We start from the raw sequence: 23,175 nt of genomic DNA on the forward strand, positions 1-23,175 counted from the left end.
CTCGATGATTAAAGTGACACATAAAAGAAGAAAGCCTATACATAATTAAGTTAAAAGGCACATTAAGAGGGTGCCATACAATATAGGAAATAGAAGTGCTAGCACAAGAGATTTTAAATAAATCAAAAAATCATTTTTATAACTATTATTTGAATTCTATAATTATCAATATATACCAATTTAGAAAACCACCGCTTTAAAAGTTATTTTAATGCTCAATTATTTGTTTCACCCTGAATTAAGCCCATTATTCCACAAAAGACTTCATGGCAAATCTTAACTTTAAAAGTTTCCTTCTCGGCTGGGCACGGTGGCTCATGCCTGTAATCCTGGCACCCTGGAAGGCCAAGGCGGGTGGATCACCTGAGGTCAGGAGTTCGAGACCACCCTGGCCAACACGATGAAACCCGTCTCTACTAAAAATACAAAAAGTAGCCAGGCGTGGTGGTGGATGCCTGTAATTCCAGCTACTCGGGAGGCTGAGGCAGGAGACTCTCTTGAACTGGGAGGTGGAGGTTGCAGTGAGCCGAGATCACGCCACTGCACTCCAGCCTGGGCAACAAGAGTGAAACTCTGTCTCAGAAAAAAAAAAAAATTATATATATATATATGTATGTTCCCTTCTCAACAGAAATATAATTTTGAGTCTTTCTATTGTTATTGTAGAGTTAATGAAAATATTATTGATACACACAGCAAGTGAACGGCTTCATTTTAATGAATGAAGATCATGAACAAGAATTTTTTTTCCTACCCTGTTTACAAAGGGCTTCTCAGGCAGGGAAAAACCTCTAATTACACTAAAACTGCTCTAAATCTATGGAGCCCGTGTATGGCCATGTGTCCCACAAGTGGTGCACTACCTGAAGGAAGTCCAGGCTCACTAGTCTCTGAGCCTTCAACCAGCTGGGAAGAGTTTCCCATGTTTGTTTGTTTGTTTGCTTTTTTTTTTTTTTTTGAGAGATGGAGTCTCACTGTCACCCAGGCTGGAGTGCAGTGGCACGATCTTGGCTCATTGCAAGCTCTGCCTCCCGTGTTCACGCCATTCTCCTCAGCCGCCCGAGTAGCTGGGATTACAGGCGCCCGGGGATTACAGGCGCCCGTCACCACACCCGGCTAACTTTTTGTATTTTTAGTAGAGATGGGGTTTAACCATGTTAGCCAGTATGGTCTCGATCTCCTGACCTCGTGATCCGCCCACCTCGGCCTCCCAAAGTGCTGGGATTACAGGCGTGAGCCACCGCGCCCGGCCGAGTTTCCCATGTTTGGAATCCATTTTCACAGTGCCTCTTTTCTTCACAGAGTTGAGTGCTCCAAACAGAATCAAACTCCAATGAATAACAAGTAATTTTGGAATGTTTTACATCATGGTAAGTCAACAAATTCACTCAGCTTTAACATCTCAATGGAAGGAGCACAGAAGCAGCCTTGTTACAGAGATAATTATTAAGCATTATCTACTGCAGGTTCTTAGTTACGCTCTTAGCGGCTAAGGCTTGCTCTAACTACAGTAAATCAGATCAGGGCTTTAAAAAGACTCCATATATGGCAATTACATAGGACTACCTTTCTTGAAATATGCTTCTTCCAAGCTTGGCTAATGAACACCCCAAACACTGAAGTCCAAATACAAAAATTCGTTTTCCTTCAATAAGCTATATTAATCTGGACATACCAAAACAATACACAGTGATAAGAAAAGTTTATGATATGCGGCCGGGTGCAGTGGCTCATGCCTGTAATCCCAGAATTTTGGGAGGCTGAGGTGGGTGGATCACCTGAGGTGAGGAGACCAGCCTGGCCAACATGGTGAAATCCCGTCTCTACTAAAAATACAAAAATTAGCTGGGCGTGGTGATGCATGTTTATAATCCCAGCTACTCGGGAGGCTAAGGAAGGGGAATTGCTTAAACCCGGGAGGCAGAGGTTGCAGTGAGCCGAGATCGCACCACTGCACTCCAGTCTGGGTGACAGAACAAGACTCTGTCTCAAAAAAAAAAAAAAAAAAAAAGTTTATGATATGCAACACATCAGGCTTAGAGAGGAACACACAATTTTTTCTGTGCTAAACAGAAGCAATTAAGTGTATTTTCACAGGGACTTCTAAACCGAACTCTTAGGAAAGAACTACTTATCAATAATCAAAGTAAGTCCATCAAAGCTGTCAACTTATTTTGAAAAACCTTCATTTAAGATGTCCTCTTTTCCTTTGAAAAAATACAATATAATTTAGAAATAAGACACATGCCTTCTGCTTTTGTATATTATCAAACTGCCTAAAAAGAGCCAAACACTTTCAAAGGCATGTTTGCAGAAGAAATAAAGATAAGAAAGCCATAATGATAGCTTAATGGGTAAGGGATAAGAGTCACACTCGATTCTGCCAAAAGCAGACCTGTAGAGGTTCAGACACGCATCCAAGAATCAGCTCTGTCTGCCAACATATCAAACGGTCAGTGCGTGCAACTGGCAAGAAAGCCCAGGGAGCTGCCACGGAGCCTGTCACTGTCACTCATGAGGAAAGACAGACAAGTTCACCAGATAGCTAAAACTGCAGAGGACCTCCCCTTTAAACCAAAGCTAAGCATTCTTCCCTCTAGAGAACTTACACTCTAAGGCCCAACACATTCTGCCAACAATTCACTTGCTGAAATAAATTTCTCTGATTAACTATCCTACAGAGAATTCAGGCTTTTGGCAATACAGTATTGCCTTGCTATGGCAAATGATGGCACACTGTTTTACAAATGGCCTTTCTCAAGATGAAAGAAACTACTTACTTAATGGATACCTACCACACATTGTGACTGCTAACAGCTATCCTAAGTCAGTCATGTTGCATAGGATAGACAAGTCATTGAAAAGTTGGCTGGGTGTGGTGGCTCATGCCTCTAATCCCAACACTTTGGGAGGCTGAGGCAGGAGGTTCACTTGAGCCCAGGAGTTCAAGACCAGCCTGGGCAACACAGTGGGACCTTGTTTATTTTTTAAAAATTTGTTAACTAAAAAAAAAAAAGAAAAAAGTTAGGAGGTGTGATAGGACATTTCATTGCCTTCCACAAAAAATATCCAGATCCATCTAAGAATATCAAACATTAAATGTTTCCTTTGCTTTTCAAATGAAGGCCCCTTTCTTTTGAAAATGTAAAAAAAAATACAAATTACAAAAATTAAAGGTATTTGAACTATTTTGTATTGAGAAATTTTAAGAAGTGGAGTTTTGAGTAAGAGTTTTCTATTTCCTTAGACCCGTTTAAAGATATAGCAACCTATTATGATTTCATATAAAATATTTCACTGTTTCTCATCTTGAGAGAGGTACATGGCTCACACAAGATCAAGAAAAGCCAAATTAATTTGGTATCTTCGTAAAATCCCTTGAGACTTCTAGAGATGCTGTGAAATGTCACAGAAACAGAGCTGGGAATCACTCTCATACATATGTTGTCTTTGTGATTCATTTATTATTTAGATCTAACCTACTTTCTAGAAGGATCTGAGGAGGCTGGAGATTTTCTCAGTATGGTGCCAAGCAAAAAGGTGGTTTAATAAAAAGCTTTTTGGTGGTGATGTTAAGAGTTATAAAATTTCTTTTTCCTGAAACTCTGTGCTTGAGAAAATAAATAAAGAGAAAAAAAGTTATGCAATTTCTAAAGATGATACTGACAAAGATCTCTTACACCAGGAAACAAAAACAAGAAAACGGGCTTTGGGTATAGACAAATACATTTTTTATATAGAAAAATGGAATAGGTATATAAACATAAGTCAGGCCTGGCAAGTGAAAAGGCAAATACCTCTGCCTCAGCAGATCATTTCCTTTAAGACAAGAATAAGCATGGAGGCTCTCTAAGAACATCAAAGGGTTAGGAAAGAGTGAGAAGACAAGAAAGGCTCTAGGATAGAGGGGCAGAAAACACACACACAGGAAAAAGGATATGGAGCCTAAGACTGACTGACGTGGGATCATAACAGATTTTGGCATGTTACAAACACTTAGGTAGATGAGATGTTGTATATCCGCAAGAAACTCTGGAAAATGTCATTCAATTATCTTTGCAGCTTAACCCTTTTGGCCAAAAAACCCACTCATTTCAGACCACCACTGAACACTAATATGGTAGAGAAAGAGTCCAACTTCTAAAATTTAAATTGTAATATCTACTTATTGAATATTGAACAATGATTAAAAGACTTAGGACAGGTAATTTTAAAATGCTACTCTTCAAGGTCTTCAGTTTATCATTTAAAAATTTGGTGCCTCTGTCTAAATTAAATCAAATCTGAATATATTAACCCGAAATACTCCTTCCACAATCCCATTAACATTATAATCTCAGTACAGAATTTAGACACATGAAATGACCATTGAACTTCTTTAGGAATTAGGAAAATAAACCCAACAATATCACAACTGATTACTCCCACTTGCAAAAGTTTTATTCTTAAACAATGGGCAACCCTAAGTAAAACAGTGAATTGCACTAGGGTTTTGCCTTTGCTGTTAGGATGTATATCTGCTACTGCCACACAGTACCCATAGCTCCTTAAAATACAGCTTCCAAAGTGTGGTGTAAATCAGGGGTCCCCAACCTCAGGGTCACGGATTGGTACTGGTCTGTGGCCTGTTAGGAACCAGGCTGCACAGCAGAAGGTGAGTGGCAGACAACAGAGCATTACTGCCTGAGCTCTGCTTCTTGTCAGATCAGCTGTGGCAATAGATTCTCATAGGAGCTCCAGCCCTACTGTGAACTGCACATACGAGGGATCTAGATTGTGGCTCCTTATGAGAATCTAATGCCTGATGATCTGTCATTGTCTTCCATCACCTCCAGATGGAACTGCTGTTTAGATGCAGGAAAACAAGCTCCAGGCTCCCACTGATTCTACATGATGGTGAGTTGCATAATTATTTCATTATTTATTACAACACCTATAGAAATAAAGTACACAATAAATGTAATGTGTTTGAATCATCCTGAAACAATCCCCCAATCCCCGTCCATTGAAAAATGGTCTTCCACAAAGCCGGTCCCTGGTGCCAAAAAGGTTGGGGAATGCTGGTGTAAATGATTACGGTTCTGCCAAATGTTGGACATGTCCAACCCCCCCCCCCCAACTGGTATTCTAGTCGCTCTAGTATCCCACACAAATATCATCTTTATGTATCATAAGGGAGAGACAAAGGCAGGGGGAAGCATGGCCCCTGACCTCCATGGATTTGAATTCCCATTTCCTAGGCTTCCAAAAATCTATAGTTAGGGATCTGGGAAATAGGTCAGATGGGGTGTAAAAAAGGGGGGGAACTTCTTTTCTCTACTTTCCCTAACTTCTACTCTCCTACACATTTTTCTACCAATTTACTAATCGATCATCCACAGCAGGGTTGTAAGCACAAATACCTCACGGACTATAAGAGACCTCAGGGTGTGGTGAGATCAGTGATGAAAATGTCTTACCTACAATTCTGGCTGACTGCAGTACTTGCAGGAATCCAAGTGCTGTGTGGTCACACACGTCATTTTATCACAAGAAAAATCAGAAATCCAGGTTAAGGATGTATAAAATATGGTAATTTTTAAATGTTGGTAGCAAATGCTTAGCCTGTGCTTTCCTTTTATTAAAAAGAAAAAGCTGGCCGGGTGCGGTGGCTCACGCTTGTAATCCCAGCACTTTGGGAGGCCAAGGTGGGTGGATCACTTGAGGCCAGGAGTTCAAGACCAGCCTGGCCAACATAGTAAAACCCCATCTCTACTAAAAATACAAAAAATTAGCCAGGCATGGTGGCATGTGCCTGTAATCCCAGCTACTGGTGAGGCCGAGGCAGAAGAATTGCTTGAGCCTGGGAGGCAGAGGTTGCGGTGAGCTGAGATTGTGCCAGTGCACTCCAGTCTGGGCAACAGAGCAAGATTCCACCTCAAAAAAACAAAACAAAACAACAACAAAAAAACAACAACAACAAAAACAAAGGCCGGGCGTGGTGGCTCACGTCTGTAATCCCAGCACTTTGGGAGGCCGAGGCAGGTGGATCACCTGAAGTCAGGAGTTCAAGACCAGCCTGGCCAACATGGTGAAATCCCATTTCTACTAACAATACAAAAATTAGCCGGGCATGGTGGCGTGTGCCTGTAATCCCAGCTCAGGAGGCTGAGGCAGAAGAATCACTTGAACCTGGGTGGTGGAGGTTGCAGTGAGCCGAGATTGCGCCACTGTACTCCAGCCTGGGTGACAAGAGCAAAACTCCGTCTCAGGAAAAAAAAAAAAGAAAAGAAAAAGCAGAAGCTGAGCATGCCTGGAAGCAGTGACTTTGTAAGTGACTCAGACCTGCCTGGATCCTCCAGCACACTGAACCTGAAGGGCCCAGTCTGGAGGTTTATTCTGCACACTCCAGAGGAGCTTCGCTTAGACTAGCGGTTACTCTGTTTCAATTTTTACCTACACAGATAACTTCATTGTGTAAACAGAAGGTGAAAACCTACATATTACATGTTAACATATTTCTGTCACTTAAGTACAAACAATGATTTCCTTTGTGAGTTCTCAAAAGAAAAAACATTTGAAGTATTGAATATTTAACATAATTATCTAAAAGATAAATGATACAGGCATGGTTAACTTTACAAATCTTTACAATTTAGATAACACCACAATAAAAAAAAAAAGATAAAAAGTGCTTTTATCTGACAACACTACCTGAGGAGGAAAAAGCCAGTAATTAGTGAATCATAATGAAAAGAATCTGCTTTGGAAATTCTGAAATGTTCATGGATTTACAAAGTTACCAAGAAGGCACTTGGTAAAGGCTCTACCAGAATACTAAGCAGCGCCTACAATGAGCCAGAAAGCAATATATGTATTTTTAAAACATTTGAACTAACAGTGTCACTGAGTCAGACTCAGCCACTGAGCCTTAAGTCCCTCTATGTTTTCGTGGTGATTTTACCTCTTCAATCTACAAATGTGGCAACAGCAAGGCTCTTTCCTTATCTTGGTCCAGAAGGCCAGACTAATGCAGTTGCCACAGACCCTTTCTCCTTCACTGATTACAGAATCATACCAAGCACAGCGGTGCCGCAACTGATGGTGGAAGACTGCCTTTCTTCAGGCTAAGAAAGAAGTACTGCACTGAATTCAAAGATATCAAAGAATGAATCACGGAAATTTTCTTGTTGTTTATGAATTCCTCTTTCAGTGTGGAGGGAGAACTCACATTTTTGGATTGGACAAATTGTAAACTTATCTTGTAAGGAAATTTCTTGCGCTGTGCTTTAAAAGTCTGAAGATTTGCTCCAAATGCCAACAGCCACCTACCATCTCTACTGTTCTGAGACTTGCCCTTGAACTGAGAAAGGACAAGCAGAGAGACAAAAAAAGCACACACTACAGCATTTCTTCTACTAAAACTTTCCATTTGGCAGTGGCATTTTCAACACTATGGAAATGAACCTCCCTACTTTTTCTAGTGATCTAATTTTCATTAAAAGCACTATGTATCAAGAGATCGATGCCCGATATAAAGGAAAAGTGATAAGTGAAGCAGAAACGAAGGGGTACTTCTCTCTGGCTTTTGGAGGTAAGTTCTTAAAAATATTAAATAGCAATAATATTTAACATTTTAAATTATACTTAAGAGGTAATTGTCTTTTTCGGTTAAGCAAGCTAAAGAGCAACATATTAGACTAGTAGATATATGACATTAACTCCTTTTTAAGAAAATTTCAGATCAGATTTTACTCACATAGGATCACTTTGAAAGTGTTTCATACAAACCACAAACTTGTAATTGTTTAAACCTGTCAAGGTAAAATAAAATTCGGGAAATGTCTGTGTTCTTTTGAAAAACTCAAAAGGGCTTTGTCCATTTTCCCAAAACTGCTTTTGGTTTTACAGAAAACATTAAAAAATACAAAAAGTGGCATTAAGTGGGAGATACATGCCTTAGGGTGTTACATGAAGGAAACATGAAAAAGTTGTCCTTATAAATGATAAACTTCCAGTAAAAAGATGCCGTATCTAACATGCACATAAAGTAAAACAATCATTGTTTTTGGTTAAAACTACCATTACACACTGGTCTATGGTGAGAATAAGGTTAGGTCTGAGAAGAGAAAATCAAGACCATATACTCTTTCCCAACAATGGGTGAGTACTGCTGCTGAAAATGACCAAGAAAAAATATGTACATACCCTTACTGTCTCTCTGGTAGATCAGACTGTCACTGTTACTAGCCCAGTCATTCAAATTTACAAGCAATAACTCTCAAATCACAGACCTTAAATCATTAATTTTTATCATTAATCTACAGGGAGTTGTTTTAAGAATAAACATGCATAGCTTTGGGCTTACTGTAGTAGCACATTTCATTAAGAATCCTGACCCAGCGGGGTGCAGTGGCTATAGTGTAATCCTAGCACTTTGGGAGGCTGAGGTGGGAAGATCGCTTGAGGCCAGGAGTTGGAGACCAGGTTGGTCAACACAGCAAGACCCTATCACTACAAAAAATTTGCAGAGACCCTATCTCTATTTAAAAGAAAAAAATTTAGCTGGTGTAGTAGCTCACACCTATAGTCCTAGCTACTCAGGGCAGTGGCTGAGGATGGAGGATCATTTGGACACTATAGCCTGGGCAACAGAGTGAGACCTTGTCTCAGAAAAAAAAAAAAAAGAATCTTCACCCTTACCAAGAAGGCAGAGTTTTGACATAGAAAGTTCTAACGCAGTTTAGTAACTTCAGCTTATAATTTTCTAAGAAAATATAATAGAACCTAAGGACTAAAAATATAAACAAAATTCTTTATAAGCGCACAGTAGTTTTAATCTATATGGTATAGCAGCTGGTAAAGTGCTTGGCAAATGACATATTCAATAAATGTCACTGAATTAAGGTATGTATCCGAGTTAATCACGTTGGTTAAAAACAAGGTAAAACACAATATATACACATATATATATATTTTTTTTTTTTTTGAGATGGAGTATATGTAATTTTTTTTTTTTTTTTTTTGAGATGGAGTCTCGCTCTGTTGCCCAGGCTGGAGTGCAATGGTGCGATCTTGGCTAACTGCAACCTCTGCCTCCCAGGTTCAAGTGATTCTCCTGCCTCAGCCTCCTAAGTAGCTGGGACTGCAGGTGCGTGCCGCCATGCCCGGCTAATTTTTGTATTTTTAGTAGCAATGGGGTTTTACCATGTTGGTCAGGCTGGTCTCAAACTCCTGACCTCGTGATCCGCCTGGCTTGGCCTCCCAAAGTGCTGGGATTATAGGCATGAGTCACTGCGCCTGGCCCAAAATGCAATATTGAAATAGTTTTTGCCAAAGAAAATCATTAAATGCCAGAATCAATTTTATAGAGCCTGATGGTACCACAAACCTATATTATTAATACTTTCAATTAACCAGGTTATACTGTAGACTGTCTAGCTGTAAGAAAGAGAAAAATCAGTTCTGTTTGCTTTTGCAAGTCACGTGCCACAAATGCTGCTTTGGTCAGTGACAGACTGCATACCTAACAGTGGTCTCTTAAGATTATAATACCACATTTTCACTGTACGTTTTCTCTTAAGATGTATTTAGATGTACAAATTCTTACCAATGTGCTATAACTGCCTCTCACATTCAGTACAGTAACATGCTGTACAGGTTTGTAGCCTCAAAGCAATACCATATATTCTAGGTGTGTAGGCTATGTCATTTAGGTTTGTGTAAGTACACTCTATGATGTGCATACAACAAAACTGCCTAATGGCGCCTTTAGGACATATCCCTGTTGTTAAGTGACATTAAGTGACTCATGACTGTACTTTATTATTGATTCACATGCCGGGTTTAGATTCTTAAAAAATTCCTCAGAACACACTTCACAGAATATTCTTGGGGCATTTTGTAATTAAGTGATAGGTAAGCACATAGATATTAAAAAAAGATTCCCCATTACTACTTTTATTCCTAAGAGGTGTCCACAGTGAAAATCAAAAGACCTCTGACACTGGTCTTGAGGAAAAACATCTTCTAAGAGAAGTATTACTCGGTGAGGTGTGCTGCTTGTAGCAGGTATGTACTGGGTTGGTGCAAAATATTTGTGTTTCTTGACATTAATTGCAAAAACCACAATTACTTTTGCACCAACCTAATAGTGAGGTATGTTGCTTGTAGCAGGTATGTATAATAGGGAGGTATGCTGCTCACCACCTTGCTGAGGGAATAGTGAATCACAGAAGCATGATTTCCTCATCACAGAAGAGTGGCCTTTGGAGACAAGTTTCCCTTGAAGATTAGACCAGAAGTGTATGAACCCCATAGCTACCTTTACAGAGGCTGGTCTCCACATGGAGAACTAACAGTCCTAGTGCCATTTACTGAATAGAACATTCCTCTCAGCATTTTCTTTAGAAGTGATGGGAGAGATTTTTAGTCTATTGGCCCAATTATTTTATTTATGAGTCCATTCAAATCTATTTATTCCTAAGTAATTTTTGTTAAACTATGTTTTCCTAGGAAACTGTCTTTATCATCCAAGTTTTAAATTTACAGGCAAAAGTTCTTCACAGTGGCTTCTTGTTTTTAAAAATGCATGTTCTCTTCCTTTAGTTGGAACACATTTATATTTTTATTCCTAATACTGCATATTGTACCTCCCCTTGTTCTTTTTATGGTTGTTGTTATAGTGGAGTTTTTTGTTTTGTTGATCTGCTCTATTCTATTGAAATTTCTAGGCCGGGCGCGGTGGCTCATGCCTGTAATCCCAGCACTTTGGGAGGCCAAGGCGGGTGGATCATGAGGTCAGGAGATCGAGACCATCCTGGCTAACACAGTGAAACCCCATCTTTACTAAAAATACCAAAAAATTAGCCGGGTGTGGTGGCGGGTGCCTGTAGTCCCAGCCACTCGGGAGGCTAAGGCAGGAGAATGGCGTGAACCCGGGTCGTGGAGCTTGCCTAGATCGCCCCACTGCACTCCAGCCTGGGTGACAAAGCAAGACTCCGTTTCAAAAAAAAAAAAAGAAATTTCTACTTTTTGCAATTAATTTCTACTCTTTATTTTCCTTCAACTTTACTCAGATTTCCCTATTTTCCTCCCTAAATTCTTTGGCTGAATGGCCTATATGTGGCAATTTTTATAAACCTCTAATATATACTTGAAAAAAATGTAAATTCTCTAATTGCTAAAAGTAGGATTTTTTTTTCTTTTTTCTCCTCAGACAGACTTTATCATAACTTAATGTCAGTAGCAGAACTAGACAAAATTTTCATCACTGACAGCAGCAGGGTTTTGGTTTTTTTTTTTTTTTTGAGATGGAGTCTCGCTCTGTTGCCCAGGCTGGAGTGCAGTAGTGTGATCTTGGCTCACTGCAACCTCTGCCTCCCGAATTTAGGCAATTCTCTGCCTCAGCCTCCTGAGTAGCTGGGATTACAGGCGCCTGCCACCATGCCTGGCTAATTTTTTTTTTGTATTTTTAGTAGAGACAAGTTTTCACCATCTTGGGCAGGCTGGTCTTGAACTCCTGACCTCGTGATCCACCCTCCTCGGCCTCCCAAAGTACTGGGATTATAGGCGTGAGCCACTGCGCCTGGCCAGCAGGGTTTTTTATATGTCCATCATATCAGGTTTGTTAACTGTATTGTTCAACTATCCAATAACTTTTATTGTCTGTGGCCAGATGTGGTGGGTCACACCTGTAATCCTAGCACTTTGGGAGGCCAAGGTGGGAGGATCACTTGTGGCCAGGAGGTCGAGACAGCCTGGGCAATAAAGCAAAACCCTAACTCTTAAAAAAAAAAAATTTGTCTGCTTTATCTGTCAATTACTAAAGTGGCTTATTAAAATCTGTCACTATAATTAGGGATTTTTAACATTCAGTTTGCAATTCTGACATATACTAAGTATATATCATTCAAAATTATTTTATCTTCTAGGTCACTTATTCCTTTCATCATTATGTGGTAACTTTTATCCCTAATGATGCTTTTTGCTTTACAGTTTACCGTGTATGACTCACACAGAGACACCAGCCTTTTTTGCTTGATAGCTGCCTGATAAATCTCATTCTATTGCTTACTTTCAACCTTTCCACGATCTTAGAGTTTTTAAAGTTTCTTGAAACCAGCATACAGGGCCAGTGCAGTGGCTCACACCTATAATCCAGCACTTTGGGAGGCCAAGACAGGAGGATTGCTTGAGCCCAGGAGTTTGAGACCAGCCTGGACAATATAGAGAGACCTTGTCTCTACAAAAAATAAAAACGTATTAGCTGGGAGTGGTGGCGTGCACTTGTGGTCCCAGCTACTTGGGAGGCTGAAATGGAAGGATCACTCAAGCCTCAGAGGTTGAGGCTGCAGAGAGCCATGATGGTGTGTTACTGCACTCCAGCCTGGGTGTCACAGCGAGACCTGTCTCTAAAAAATAAATAAATAGATAAAAATAATTAAAAATATTAAAACAGTATGTAGGCAAATTCTATATGTTTATCCAATCTGAGTCTTTTAACTGGCAAGTTTAGTTCACTTAACATTTGTTCTAAATTGATTGATTTCTGCCATTTTATTTTGGGCTTTCTTTTTCCCATGGTTTCTATTTACTTTTTTCCCACTTCCTGGTTTTTATTGGTTTGAAAGTTAAAATATCCTATTTATGTTCTGCGGTGGAATCTTTTGAATACACAAAACCTTATTAATCAATTTATCTGCCGTCATCACAATCTTGGAATGCTTAGGTTTGAACAGCTTCTAGTTTGTTACTGTTTTTTACAAAATAAAATCATTAAAAGCCAGAACCAATTTCATAGAGCTTGATGGTACCACAAGCCTGCATCTTAATATTTTCAATTAATCATGTTATACTGTGGAGCGTTTGGCTGTAAGAAAGAGAAAAACCAGTTGTCTGCTTTTACCCGTCACGCGCTGCAAATGCTCAATAGACACATGTGGCTACTGCACTGACAGCACTGCTGTGGGAGCTCCTACAGCAAGAATCTGGGGAGACAACTGCTGTTGTTTTTGTTGAAAAGTATCTTTATTTTGTTCTCTTCGATTACTGAATTATTGGTTTTTTTTTTTCTTCAGTCCTCTCAATATATTATTCTTTTGTCTTCTAAACTCAGTAGCTGCAACTATGGAATATGCTGTCAGTCTAACTGGTGTTCCTTTGTAAACACCCAATCTTGAGCAACCTTTGGTTGCTTCTGTCTCTGCCTTTGACATCTCATCAGAATGTGTCTGGGTGTGTGTGTGTGTGTGTGCACGCGCATGTGTATATATATATATTTTTTTTATTTTTATTTATTTATTTTTTGAGACAGAGTCTCACTCTGTCACCTAGGCTGGAGTGCAGTGGCATCATCCCGGCTCACTGCAACCTCCACCTCCCGGGTTCAAGCGATTTTCCTGCCTCAGCCTCCTGAGTAGCTGGAATTACAGGTGCCCGCCACCAGGCCCAGCTAATTTTTGTATTTTTAGTAGCGGTGGGGTTTCACCATGTTGGCCAGACTGGTCTCGAACTCCTGACCTCAAGTGATCCAGCCTGCCTAGGCCTCCCAAAGTGCTGGGATTACAGGCGTGAGCCATAGTGTCCGGCTAATATTTCTATGTTTTATGCTTGGAGCTCATTCTATTGTTTAAATCTGAGATTTATGTCTTTTATGGATTCTGGAAAATTCCCAGTCATCAACGCTTCAAATATTGCCTCTCTACAAATCTGCTTTATCATTCTGAAATTCTTATCCATCAAATGTTAGAGTTTATAATTCTAATCACTCTGTCATATTTCCATTTTGTCCTTTTTTTGGATACATTCTGGATTTCCTCAGATATATCTTCTAGCTCACCAATTCTCTTTTCAGCTATTACCAATTAACTGTTGAATCCAAGTAGAGAGTATCTTTCAATTAAAATTTTAATTTCTATTAGTTCTACTCAGCAATTTTTCAAATCTTCCTTTTTTTTAATAGCATTTAATTCTTTTTTATTCTTTTATTTTTTGAGACAGGGTCTCACTATCACCCAGGCTGGAGCGCAGTGGCGTGATCATGGCTCACTGCAGCCTCAACCTCGCGGGCTCAGGTGATTCTCTCACCTCAGCCTCCCAGGTCCACCCGGCTAATTTTTTGTATTTTTTATAGAGACAGGGTTTCGCCATGTTGCTCATGTTGGTCTTGAACTCCTGGGCTCAAGTGATCTGTTCGCCTTGGCCTCCCAAAGTGCTGAGATTACAAGTGTGAGCCACTGTGCCTGGCAGCATTTTATTCTTTTCTTTTTGAGATGGAGTTTAGCTCTTGTTGCCCAGGCTGGAGTGCAGTGGCATGATCTTGGCTCACTGCAACCTCTGCCTCCCGGGTTCAAACGATTCTTCTGACTCAGTCTCTCCCGAGTAGCTGGGATTACAGGTGTCTGCCACCACGCCAGGCTAATTTTTTCTATTTTTAGTAGAGATGGGGTTTCACCATGTTGGGCAGGCTGGTCTCGAACTCTTGACCTCAGGTGATCCACCTGCCTCGGCCTCCCAAAGTGTTGGGATTTCAGGCGTGAGCCACCGCACAGGGCCTTTATTCTTTTTTCACATTTGCTGTTCTTTTTACTTTATTTTATAATCTGTATCTGGTATTTACATCCATTAGAGTCTCTAGTTTCCATGAACTAAAGTCTTTGGGAAGGGTTGTATAATCCTGCTGTTTGTTATATGCTACCTTTCATTCACTGCAAAGTATTTCCTTGTATATTTAGTAATTTTAGACCATGAGACATGCCTGATATTCCTGGGCAACCTGGCTGGGCTAAGAATGTATCTTGCCAGAAGGGATCTACATTTGCTTCTGCCAGATGCCGTAGAGTAATCACCAGCTGATGATTAATTTTATGTTAATTTCTTGACCTGGGTAAGAAATGATACTAAATGAATGGTACAACTTGAACCTTAAATTTGTATGAGGGAAGTCCCATGGTTATTTTTTAGGAAGACATCTTCCTTCTAACCCAAAGCCCAGATTTATTTATTTATTTATTTATTTATTTATTTATTTATTTATTGAGATGGAGTCTTGCTCTGTCTCCCAGGCTGGAGTGCCAAGGGGCCATCTAGGCTCACTGCAACCTTCACTGCCTGGGTTCAAGCGATTCTCCTGCCTAGCCTCCCAAGTAGCTGGGACTACAGGCGTGCACCACCATGTCCGGCTAATTTTTTTGTATTTTTAGTAGAGATGGGGTTTCGCCGTGTTGGCCAGGCTGGTCTTGAACTCCTGACCGCAGGTGATCCACCCGCCTTGGCCTCCCAAAGTGCTGGGATACAGGCGTGAGCCACCATACCTGGCCAAGACTTCTCATTTTTAATATATATATTTTTCCAATGTATACCTCAGGCTTTCTAGTAATGGCCCCTACAACATTTGAAAATAATACTTGTAAAGAGACACAAAGAGCCTGCAGCTCATGCATGGTACTATCAGAAGGGATAGGAAGAAGCATATCACAGGCCTGTGTTATAAGAGAATCTGGATAGGCCAGGTGTGGATAACACTGATGTCCCTAGGATTCTTTCACTAATGAGATCATTTGTTGAGTCTAGAATGGAGACACAGTCTATGATATTTTGTATTTGTAAATGCCTAACAAAATACCTTACTTTCATGATGGCCTTTTAAGATAAATAGGTCAAATCAGTGGTTTAAATGATTTAGCCAAGGTTATAGTCAGTAAGGCAAAGCCCAGAATAGAATTCTTATCTGCAAACTAAATTCCATGCCAAAAGAATGTTACCATGGCAAAGCCACCCTCAGGGATATATTCTGCAGCTTTTGTATCTAGAAATCATTTGTAAGTTTCAAAAAGGAATGACTAAATAGGACGCATAAAAATCTAAGCCAAAGCTTCCCAAGTAGTTGTTTGATTCAGGTATGGCACAACAAAGAGCATGTTAGCACATGAGCTCATGCTGAGACTTCCACTGTCCAGTATGGCAGCTGCCAGCACATACAGCCATGTAAATTCTAATATATTAAATTAAATAAACTAAAAAGAAGTGTTCTTCATTTGCCCTAGCCACATTGCAGGCTACTATATGGGACAGTGCTGACACGGAACTATCATTTTCCCTAATTGCAAAGTTTTAGTGGATAGCACTACTCTAGAATATGGATTGATGAAGTAATTTTATTGTTACAGTAGAGTGGAAAGAACATTGGCCTTGAAGCCCGAAAGACCTACTCCCAAATTCTCCATCTGTCACTTATTACCTTTGCGAATCTCGAGCAGATTCCTAAACAGCTCTGAGCCTCTTGTTTTCTCAACCTGTAAGTTGAGGATCAGAAATAAGGTGCTAGAAATACCACTGCTACTCAATAACTCCAGAATTTATAACCTCCCCATAATTCATTGCAATCCCACTGGGGTCTTGTGACTGCCAAAAGGCCCTTGCACAGAATAAAAATACACTGTTCCCAAAAGATTCAAGAGGCTGGACATGGTGGCCCATGCTAGCACTTCGGGAGGCTGAGGCGGGAGAATTGCTTGAGCCCAGGAGTTCAAGACCAGCCTGGGCAACACAGTGAGACCTTGTCTTTTGAAAACAACCACCACCACCACCACCACTACCCCACAAAGATTTAAGAGAATCACCAAGCCTAAGCCCTTAGTCAGTGTAAGAATTTTCTCTTTAAGATTTTATCTTTTTCTTGAGGGGTGGGGTGGGTGTAGATGGGCATGTTTTATAAAGAAAAACTCTTGGCTGGGCGCGGTGGCTCACTCCTGTAATCCCAGCACTTTGGAAGGCCAAGGCAGGTGGATCACGAGGTCAGGAGATCGAGACCATCCTAGCTAACACGGTGAAACCCCGTCTCTACTAAAAATAGAAAAAATTAGCCGGGCGTGGTGGTGGGCGCCTGTAGTCCCAGCTACTCGGGAGGCTGAGGCAGGAGAATGGCGTGAACCTGGGAGGCAGAGCTTGCAGTGAGCCAAGATCATGCCACTGCACTCCAGCCTGGGTGACAGAGCAAGGCTCCGTCTCAAAAAAAAAAAAAAAGAAAAACTCTTAAAAATAAATAAAACAAATAACTTAGAACTGAAAAAAAGTTATGGTTCACTGTTCTAGTACATTAACTCCAAAAATTAATTTGAATGAAAGAAGTTGGATATGAAGGTGTCACTTGAGTTAAATGGGTCAGGTGTCTTGATGGTATTTCCCACAAGAGAATGGCAGAAGTGCAGCTATAGAATCAGGTATAATTACCTGTATGCATAATCAGATACTAACTTTTTATTTAAAGAACAAATCCCTAAACAACTTAATAGCTCGCTGACCTGACAAGACTATTTTCCACTTTTAAGACTATGTAGACAAAACACACACTCGAGAGGGCTTAACACTCACAAAATCATTTTCTGTTGTCTTATCACTTCTCCCCAATACAGCTATTCCTTTAAATACTTTCCCTAATGAAATGACCTGGTTAAGTGAGTTTTCTGTTCAACTAAGAAAACTTTTGTTTCAATCAGTTGAAAATTTTCTAAAGTAAAATGCATTAATGCACTTTCTCCCCAAGAATGTTCTAGTTAACATAATAAATACTCCTGATGATTTTAGGTCTCACTATAACAATTTAACCTATGATACTACAGTGGAGTTAAAGTTATAAAATATTGACATTTTAATGCCGACCCCAGGTTATTCTCTGGATATCTGCTTGATTTTCAGAAAATAAAACCTAGTATTAGCTTGTTTTCTTATAATTTGCCTTCATTTCTTCCACACACGAACTATAAAAATATTTCCAGACAACTGAAGCTCTAATTAGTTAGCTTCTGGTTACTCATGGTTCAATTACATTTGTGTTATGTCACACTTTCAATTTCACAGGACTTTTGCCTTGTGAAAAAAATATAATACAATTCATCTCAGGTTTATGCTAAATGGTAACTGGGTCCGGATAACTTTCCCTACTGACTACTTTAATAATCAAACCACTTAGGAGTGATGGCTAGATTAAGTTTCCAGGCAGTAAAGAACAGAATTAAGCCTATTTCACTTAAAAAAAAATTGGATCCATATTCATTTGCAGAATTTCTCCCACCCTCTTTTCATTTTTTGAGTCAGGGTCTCGCTTGTTGCCCAGGCTGGAGTGCAGTGGCGCAATCATGGCTCACTGCAGCCTGGACAGCCTCCTGGGTTCAAGCGACTTTCCCACCTCAGCCTCCTGGGTAGCTGGGACTACAAGTGTGTGACACCACACCTGGCTAATTTTTCTATTTTTTTGTGGAGTGGGGGTTTTGACATGTTGCCCAGGCTGGTCTCAAACTCCTGGGCTCAAGCAATCTGCTTGCCTCGGTCTCCCAAAATCGTGGGATTGCAGGTGTTGAGCCACTTTGCCCAGCCGAATTTTCCCTTTAATGGAATATTCAGTACAAAGAAAAGAGCAATCTGAAATAATTACATTGTTAACATTAGTTTAAATAAATCCATCTGAACTTACAGCTATTACAAAGCATGTCTAATATGTCCACAGAATTTAAAATCTGAGAGGTAATTACCTGGACAAATAGTTTACTGAGAAGTCAAAAGATAGAACCTATTTCACTTATACTTCAAAGTGTGCTACGGAAAAGAACTTGGGGGTTTCTAGCTTTAAAATAGGCCTTGTTACTTCTCATTCAGGGAATTAAGAGGTGTATAATTTTTAGTAACTTTTTCTATTTTATACTGAAGACATCCCCCAAGACCAATTACCCCCCCGCCAAGTGAAATTCAAACACATTAACTTTTACTTTTTAAGTTAGAAGCAACATTTCTCCAACTATATCCTTAGATGCCAATTAGAGCACAATCATTGTTACCATAACCAGTTTTCATATCCCTATAGTCAATGTCCAACAAACTGTCCTCAAACACCCATACCTTCAATATCCATACTAATACACTGGAATCAAGTATATTTTTTAGTACTGTAGTTTCTTGGAAGGGCCACTCTAGCTTTGCTGACTACATCCAATCGTTATTAGAGATTGTAAAAATGCCTGAAAGAACCCTGGACTAAAAAGCAGAAGAATAGTCATAATCCTAACTCTCCAACAGGGTAATAGTTATGCATCTCTGAGTCTCAGTTGACTTAACTGCCTGCTTACACCACATAGGTAACTGTATCGTTAACATTAAAGCACCACAGCTCTTGGCTCAGTGCTGGTAACCAGTAGACACTCAATTAAATAAACAGATAGAAAAACCTTACTTAGAAACATATTCAGACAAAATAAAGTAGAAAAAGTAATAAATATCTTAAAAAAAAAAACCCATCACCACTATTCTGGGCAAAAATAATATTTTCTGGCCGGGCGTGGTGGCTCATGCCTATAATCCCAGCATTTTGGGAGGCCGAGGCAGGCAGATCACAAGGTCAGGAGATCAAGACCATCCTGGCTAACACGGTGAAACCCCTTCTCTACCAAAAATACAAAAAAATTAGCCAGGCGTGGTGGCGGGTGCCTGTAGTCCCAGCTACTTGGGAGGCCGAGCCAGGAGAAGGGCATGAATCCGGGAGGCAGAGCTTGCATGAGCCTAGATCACACCACTGCACTCCAGCCTGGGCAACAGAGCAAGACTCCGTCTCAAAAAAAAGAAAATAATAATAGTAATAATAATACTTTCTTTGTGGAAAGAATTATCTGTATCTGTTCCCATCCTGTGTGTCCCAAACTAAGTTCTGTTGCTTAGGGACATGGGCAGCTGATAGTCCACAGCTGCAAAAAAACAAAGGCATAAACCTTATTTTAATAAACCGACAACAGAAATGTAGTGCTATTAAATGAAATAGTAAACTAAATTATATACAAAAGAATGTTTCCAGTTTCAGAGCCCAGTTTATTTATTTATTTTTTTGAGACACAGTCTCATTCTGTTGCCCAGGCTGGAGTACAGTGGCGCGATCTCAGCTCACTGCAACCTCCACCTCCCAGGTTCAAGTGATTACAGGCGCCTGCCACCAAGCCCGGCTAATTTTTTTCTGTATTTTTAGTAGATACGGGGTTTCACCATGTTGGCCTGGCTGGTCTCGAACTCCTGACCTCAAGTGATCTGCCCTCCTCGGCCTCCCAAAGTGCTGGGATTACAGGCATGAGCCACCACCTCTGGCCTCAGAGCCCAGTTTAAAAGGTTTGATCTTTCCAACAGACTCATTTATAATCATTAAGTAGAGACCATATTTTGTTTTGTAATTTGAAACTTCCTAAATAATGGATTGATAGAAACTAAAGTCACTCAATTTTAAATGTAATAACTATAATAAAACAGATATACTCACAGCTTGCATTTCTATACAGAAGAAATGGTTCATGGAGCTGAAATTCCAAATCTTTATTCACTGGTTCAACTAGATTGTGCATATTTAGTCGATTCACAATGGTAAAACCATGGTAAGGGGAAGCTGACCTTAGATTTAATAGAAGAAAAAAAAATATGTAGTTACCATTTAATCTGTAGAAATGTTATCTACTATGTACTTTATTTTCATTTCAAAAAAGAATGCATTAGAACATTATACAATATTATCAGCACTTACATCTGTAAACAAAAAATTTAAGTCAGATCATACTCCTCCTCTGACGAGAAGTCTCCAAAGACAGTCTCTCAGAGTAAAGGCCAAAGTCCTTACTGAGGCCACCAAGGCCCCACCTGATATACTCCCCACTCTGACTTCATTTCCTATGGCTCTTCTCCAGCTCCTACTCTCCAGCCACACCGGGCTCCTTGCCACTCTCTCTGCGTGTGTGCTTCTACCTAAAAACCTCTTCCTGGATTACTGCCCCAGAAGCTGCACAGCTATCTCATCTCCTCCAAGCCTTTGTTCAGATGTCACCTTTTTCATGAGGCCTACTTGAACTATCCTTTTTAATGCTCCCAAGCTCAATATCTCTAACCTTCCTCTTTTATCCATACCACTTATTTTTAGTATTTATTGTCCTCCCCCCACTAGGATGTAAGCCCCATGCAAATGGAGCTTTTGTCTTACTTTTTTCATACATATATCCCAAGATAGACACACAGTTGCTGAATGAAATATCATTCAATTGGATTGGCTATAATGGCTGCCCATCATTACAATAATGTTTTTCTTGCAACAAATAGATATTTACATAGCGCTCCTGAGTTAGACGGAAAATGCCTTGAATCCTACAATAGGAAACATCCTTGGTTCCCATATCAGAGGGATTCGGTACATGATCCTTTACTCTTCACATGTACCTAACACTTCACCGTTTTTCATTTGTTTCTCTACGATATACCCGGGGTGTTAACAGAACACTATTCTATAGATTAGGAGACAAGCTTTGAATGATAAGGCCTGTGCCTGAGGTCACACAAATAATGAGTTACAAATAATATAACTAGGATTCAGTTTCAGGTTTTTTGACTCCAAATCCAAGCTTCTACTATATGAAGTAATAGCTGCAAAGTGACAGTCTGACATCCTGGTATACCTTTATCCAAGGTACGCAAAATAGTCTCACATTTTCCAAACACAGTTTCTTGCGTCTCCTTTAATTAGAATCAGTACCATATAAGCCTCCGTGAATTGTATTAAATCCAGCCACCCACTACACTAAATCTCCTACTTTCTACAATCAGTGCCTCTGTATGATAACAATAAAGCCAGTAAAGTACTTTTACCAAATATCATAGAAACTAAGGTTCTAATAACAGAGTTTCTAGAGATTTATATTGCTAATGAAGAGTAATGAAGGGAGTGAGGGTAAAGATCCTTTCCTATTAATTTATTTATTTTTTATGAGAGGGAGTCTCGCTCTGTCACCCAGGCTGGAGTGCAGTGGCACGACCTCGGCTCACTGCAAGCTCCGCCTCCTGGGTTCACGATATTCTCCTGCCTCAGCCTCTCAAGTAGCTGGGACTACAGGTGCCTGCCACCATGCCCAGCTAATTTTTTGTATTTTTAGTAGAGACAGGGTTTCACCGTGTTAGCCAGGATGGTCTTGATCTCCTGACCTCGTGATCCGCCCACCTCGGCCTCCCAAAGTGCTGGGATTACAGGCGTGAGCCACTGCACCCGGCCGATCCCTTCCTTTTTAAAAGCAGAAAGATGAATAGCAGGGAACAAAGAAAGTGTCTAAGAAAAAAGAGCTTGGTGTACAAATATCAAAGAATTACACTTAAAAGAAGAAAAAAATGAGTGCATTTAGACGAGATCTCAAAGCTTTGTATCAAAATTTAGAAGAGTATTTGACAAATTCTTTTAAATTGGCATCAATGGAGAAAGGCAATCCTTATGAAGCAACTCAATACAAAAAAAAAAGGGAAAAGACCAGATATCAGTAATAACTCCTGCTGACTCCCTAAGCTTTAGAAAACAAGGGAAGGAACCTGCCCTTGTAAGAGTTAAGACCTTAGAGGAATCCAGGAAAACAAGTACCCCATGACTATCATATACTGTCAGTTGTCTTTAGGCCCCAAAAGCTGCCTAACAAAAAAGTTGCAATTTGCAAACCAATCTTAAAGATAATGAATTTTTGAATAAGTCAAAAATAAAAAATACGCCATCATGAATAATCCAAGCTTTCTAAAGAACTCTCAAATAAGACACTGTACATAATCCAGAACTTCTGTGGGTTGGGAAAGAGGACAGAACCAGTCATAAAAGACAACCACTCATGTAGTAATGAAAGAACAGAGGGATCGACCTCTCAATAACATTATTTTACAGAGCCAGTCTATGTATTGTCTTTTCCCCAAATATATATCTTTCTTTTTCTTTCTAATATGGGGGTAGGAAGAGAGACGCAGGCATCCATTTTAGACTCAATCATTATTATTTTGAAATTGCTTTGCTAGGCTGGTAATATAAATTCTAGTTCAGTTTATTCTGAATCACAGAAAGGCTCAGAGAAAAGAAAGAACCTGGTTAAGATTTCACAGCTAGGGAAAGATGAAAACTTGAAGGGTACTAGCAGGACGGTTCCAAAGACAAATGTACAAGAGAATTGAACCGTTTCACATTGTTCACCACTAGACTGTTAAAAACAAATATACATATTTTAAAAACTTACCTTCGATATACGAATAAGGTCCCTTCTATATCAGTCTTCTCCTATGAAAGACAATGACTCAATTAGTTTTTTTTCCCCATAATCAGACCCCAAATAGTCCCCATGGAGAAGTAATGCTTCACGTTTAAGATCAACTTGTTTCATT

General features: G+C 39.9%; 1 protein-coding gene, 1 long non-coding RNA gene and 1 other non-coding gene across 7 annotated transcripts in view; 1 reads left to right on the plus strand and 2 right to left on the minus strand.

The window, feature by feature from the left end:
• DCP1A (decapping mRNA 1A) overlaps positions 1–23,175 on the minus strand; it is a 64,115-nt gene that overhangs the window by 38,443 nt on the left and 2,497 nt on the right. For 2 of the 5 annotated variants that reach the window (NM_001290204.2, NM_018403.7), the window contains exons 2-3: positions 23,031–23,071; positions 20,273–20,400 (exon numbers count right to left, since the gene is read on the minus strand). In NM_001290204.2, the coding sequence (NP_001277133.1) occupies positions 20,273–20,400; positions 23,031–23,071 (169 nt within the window). Of the gene's footprint in view, positions 1–16,219; positions 16,275–20,272; positions 20,401–23,030; positions 23,072–23,175 lie in introns of all 5 variants that reach the window. The other 3 variants (NM_001290207.2, NM_001290206.2, NM_001290205.2) reach the window with 2 other exon arrangements.
• LOC124909380 (uncharacterized) lies at positions 1,294–4,963 on the plus strand. Its single transcript, XR_007095912.1, has 2 exons — positions 1,294–1,370; positions 4,836–4,963. It is a non-coding gene; the product is annotated as an uncharacterized LOC124909380 (long non-coding RNA).
• SNORD38C (small nucleolar RNA, C/D box 38C) lies at positions 11,190–11,256 on the minus strand. Its single transcript, NR_145715.1, has one exon. It is a non-coding gene; the product is annotated as a small nucleolar RNA, C/D box 38C (small nucleolar RNA).

Source organism: Homo sapiens, chromosome 3, assembly GCF_000001405.40.
Source record: "Homo sapiens chromosome 3, GRCh38.p14 Primary Assembly".
Taxonomy (NCBI): Eukaryota; Metazoa; Chordata; class Mammalia; order Primates; family Hominidae; genus Homo; species Homo sapiens.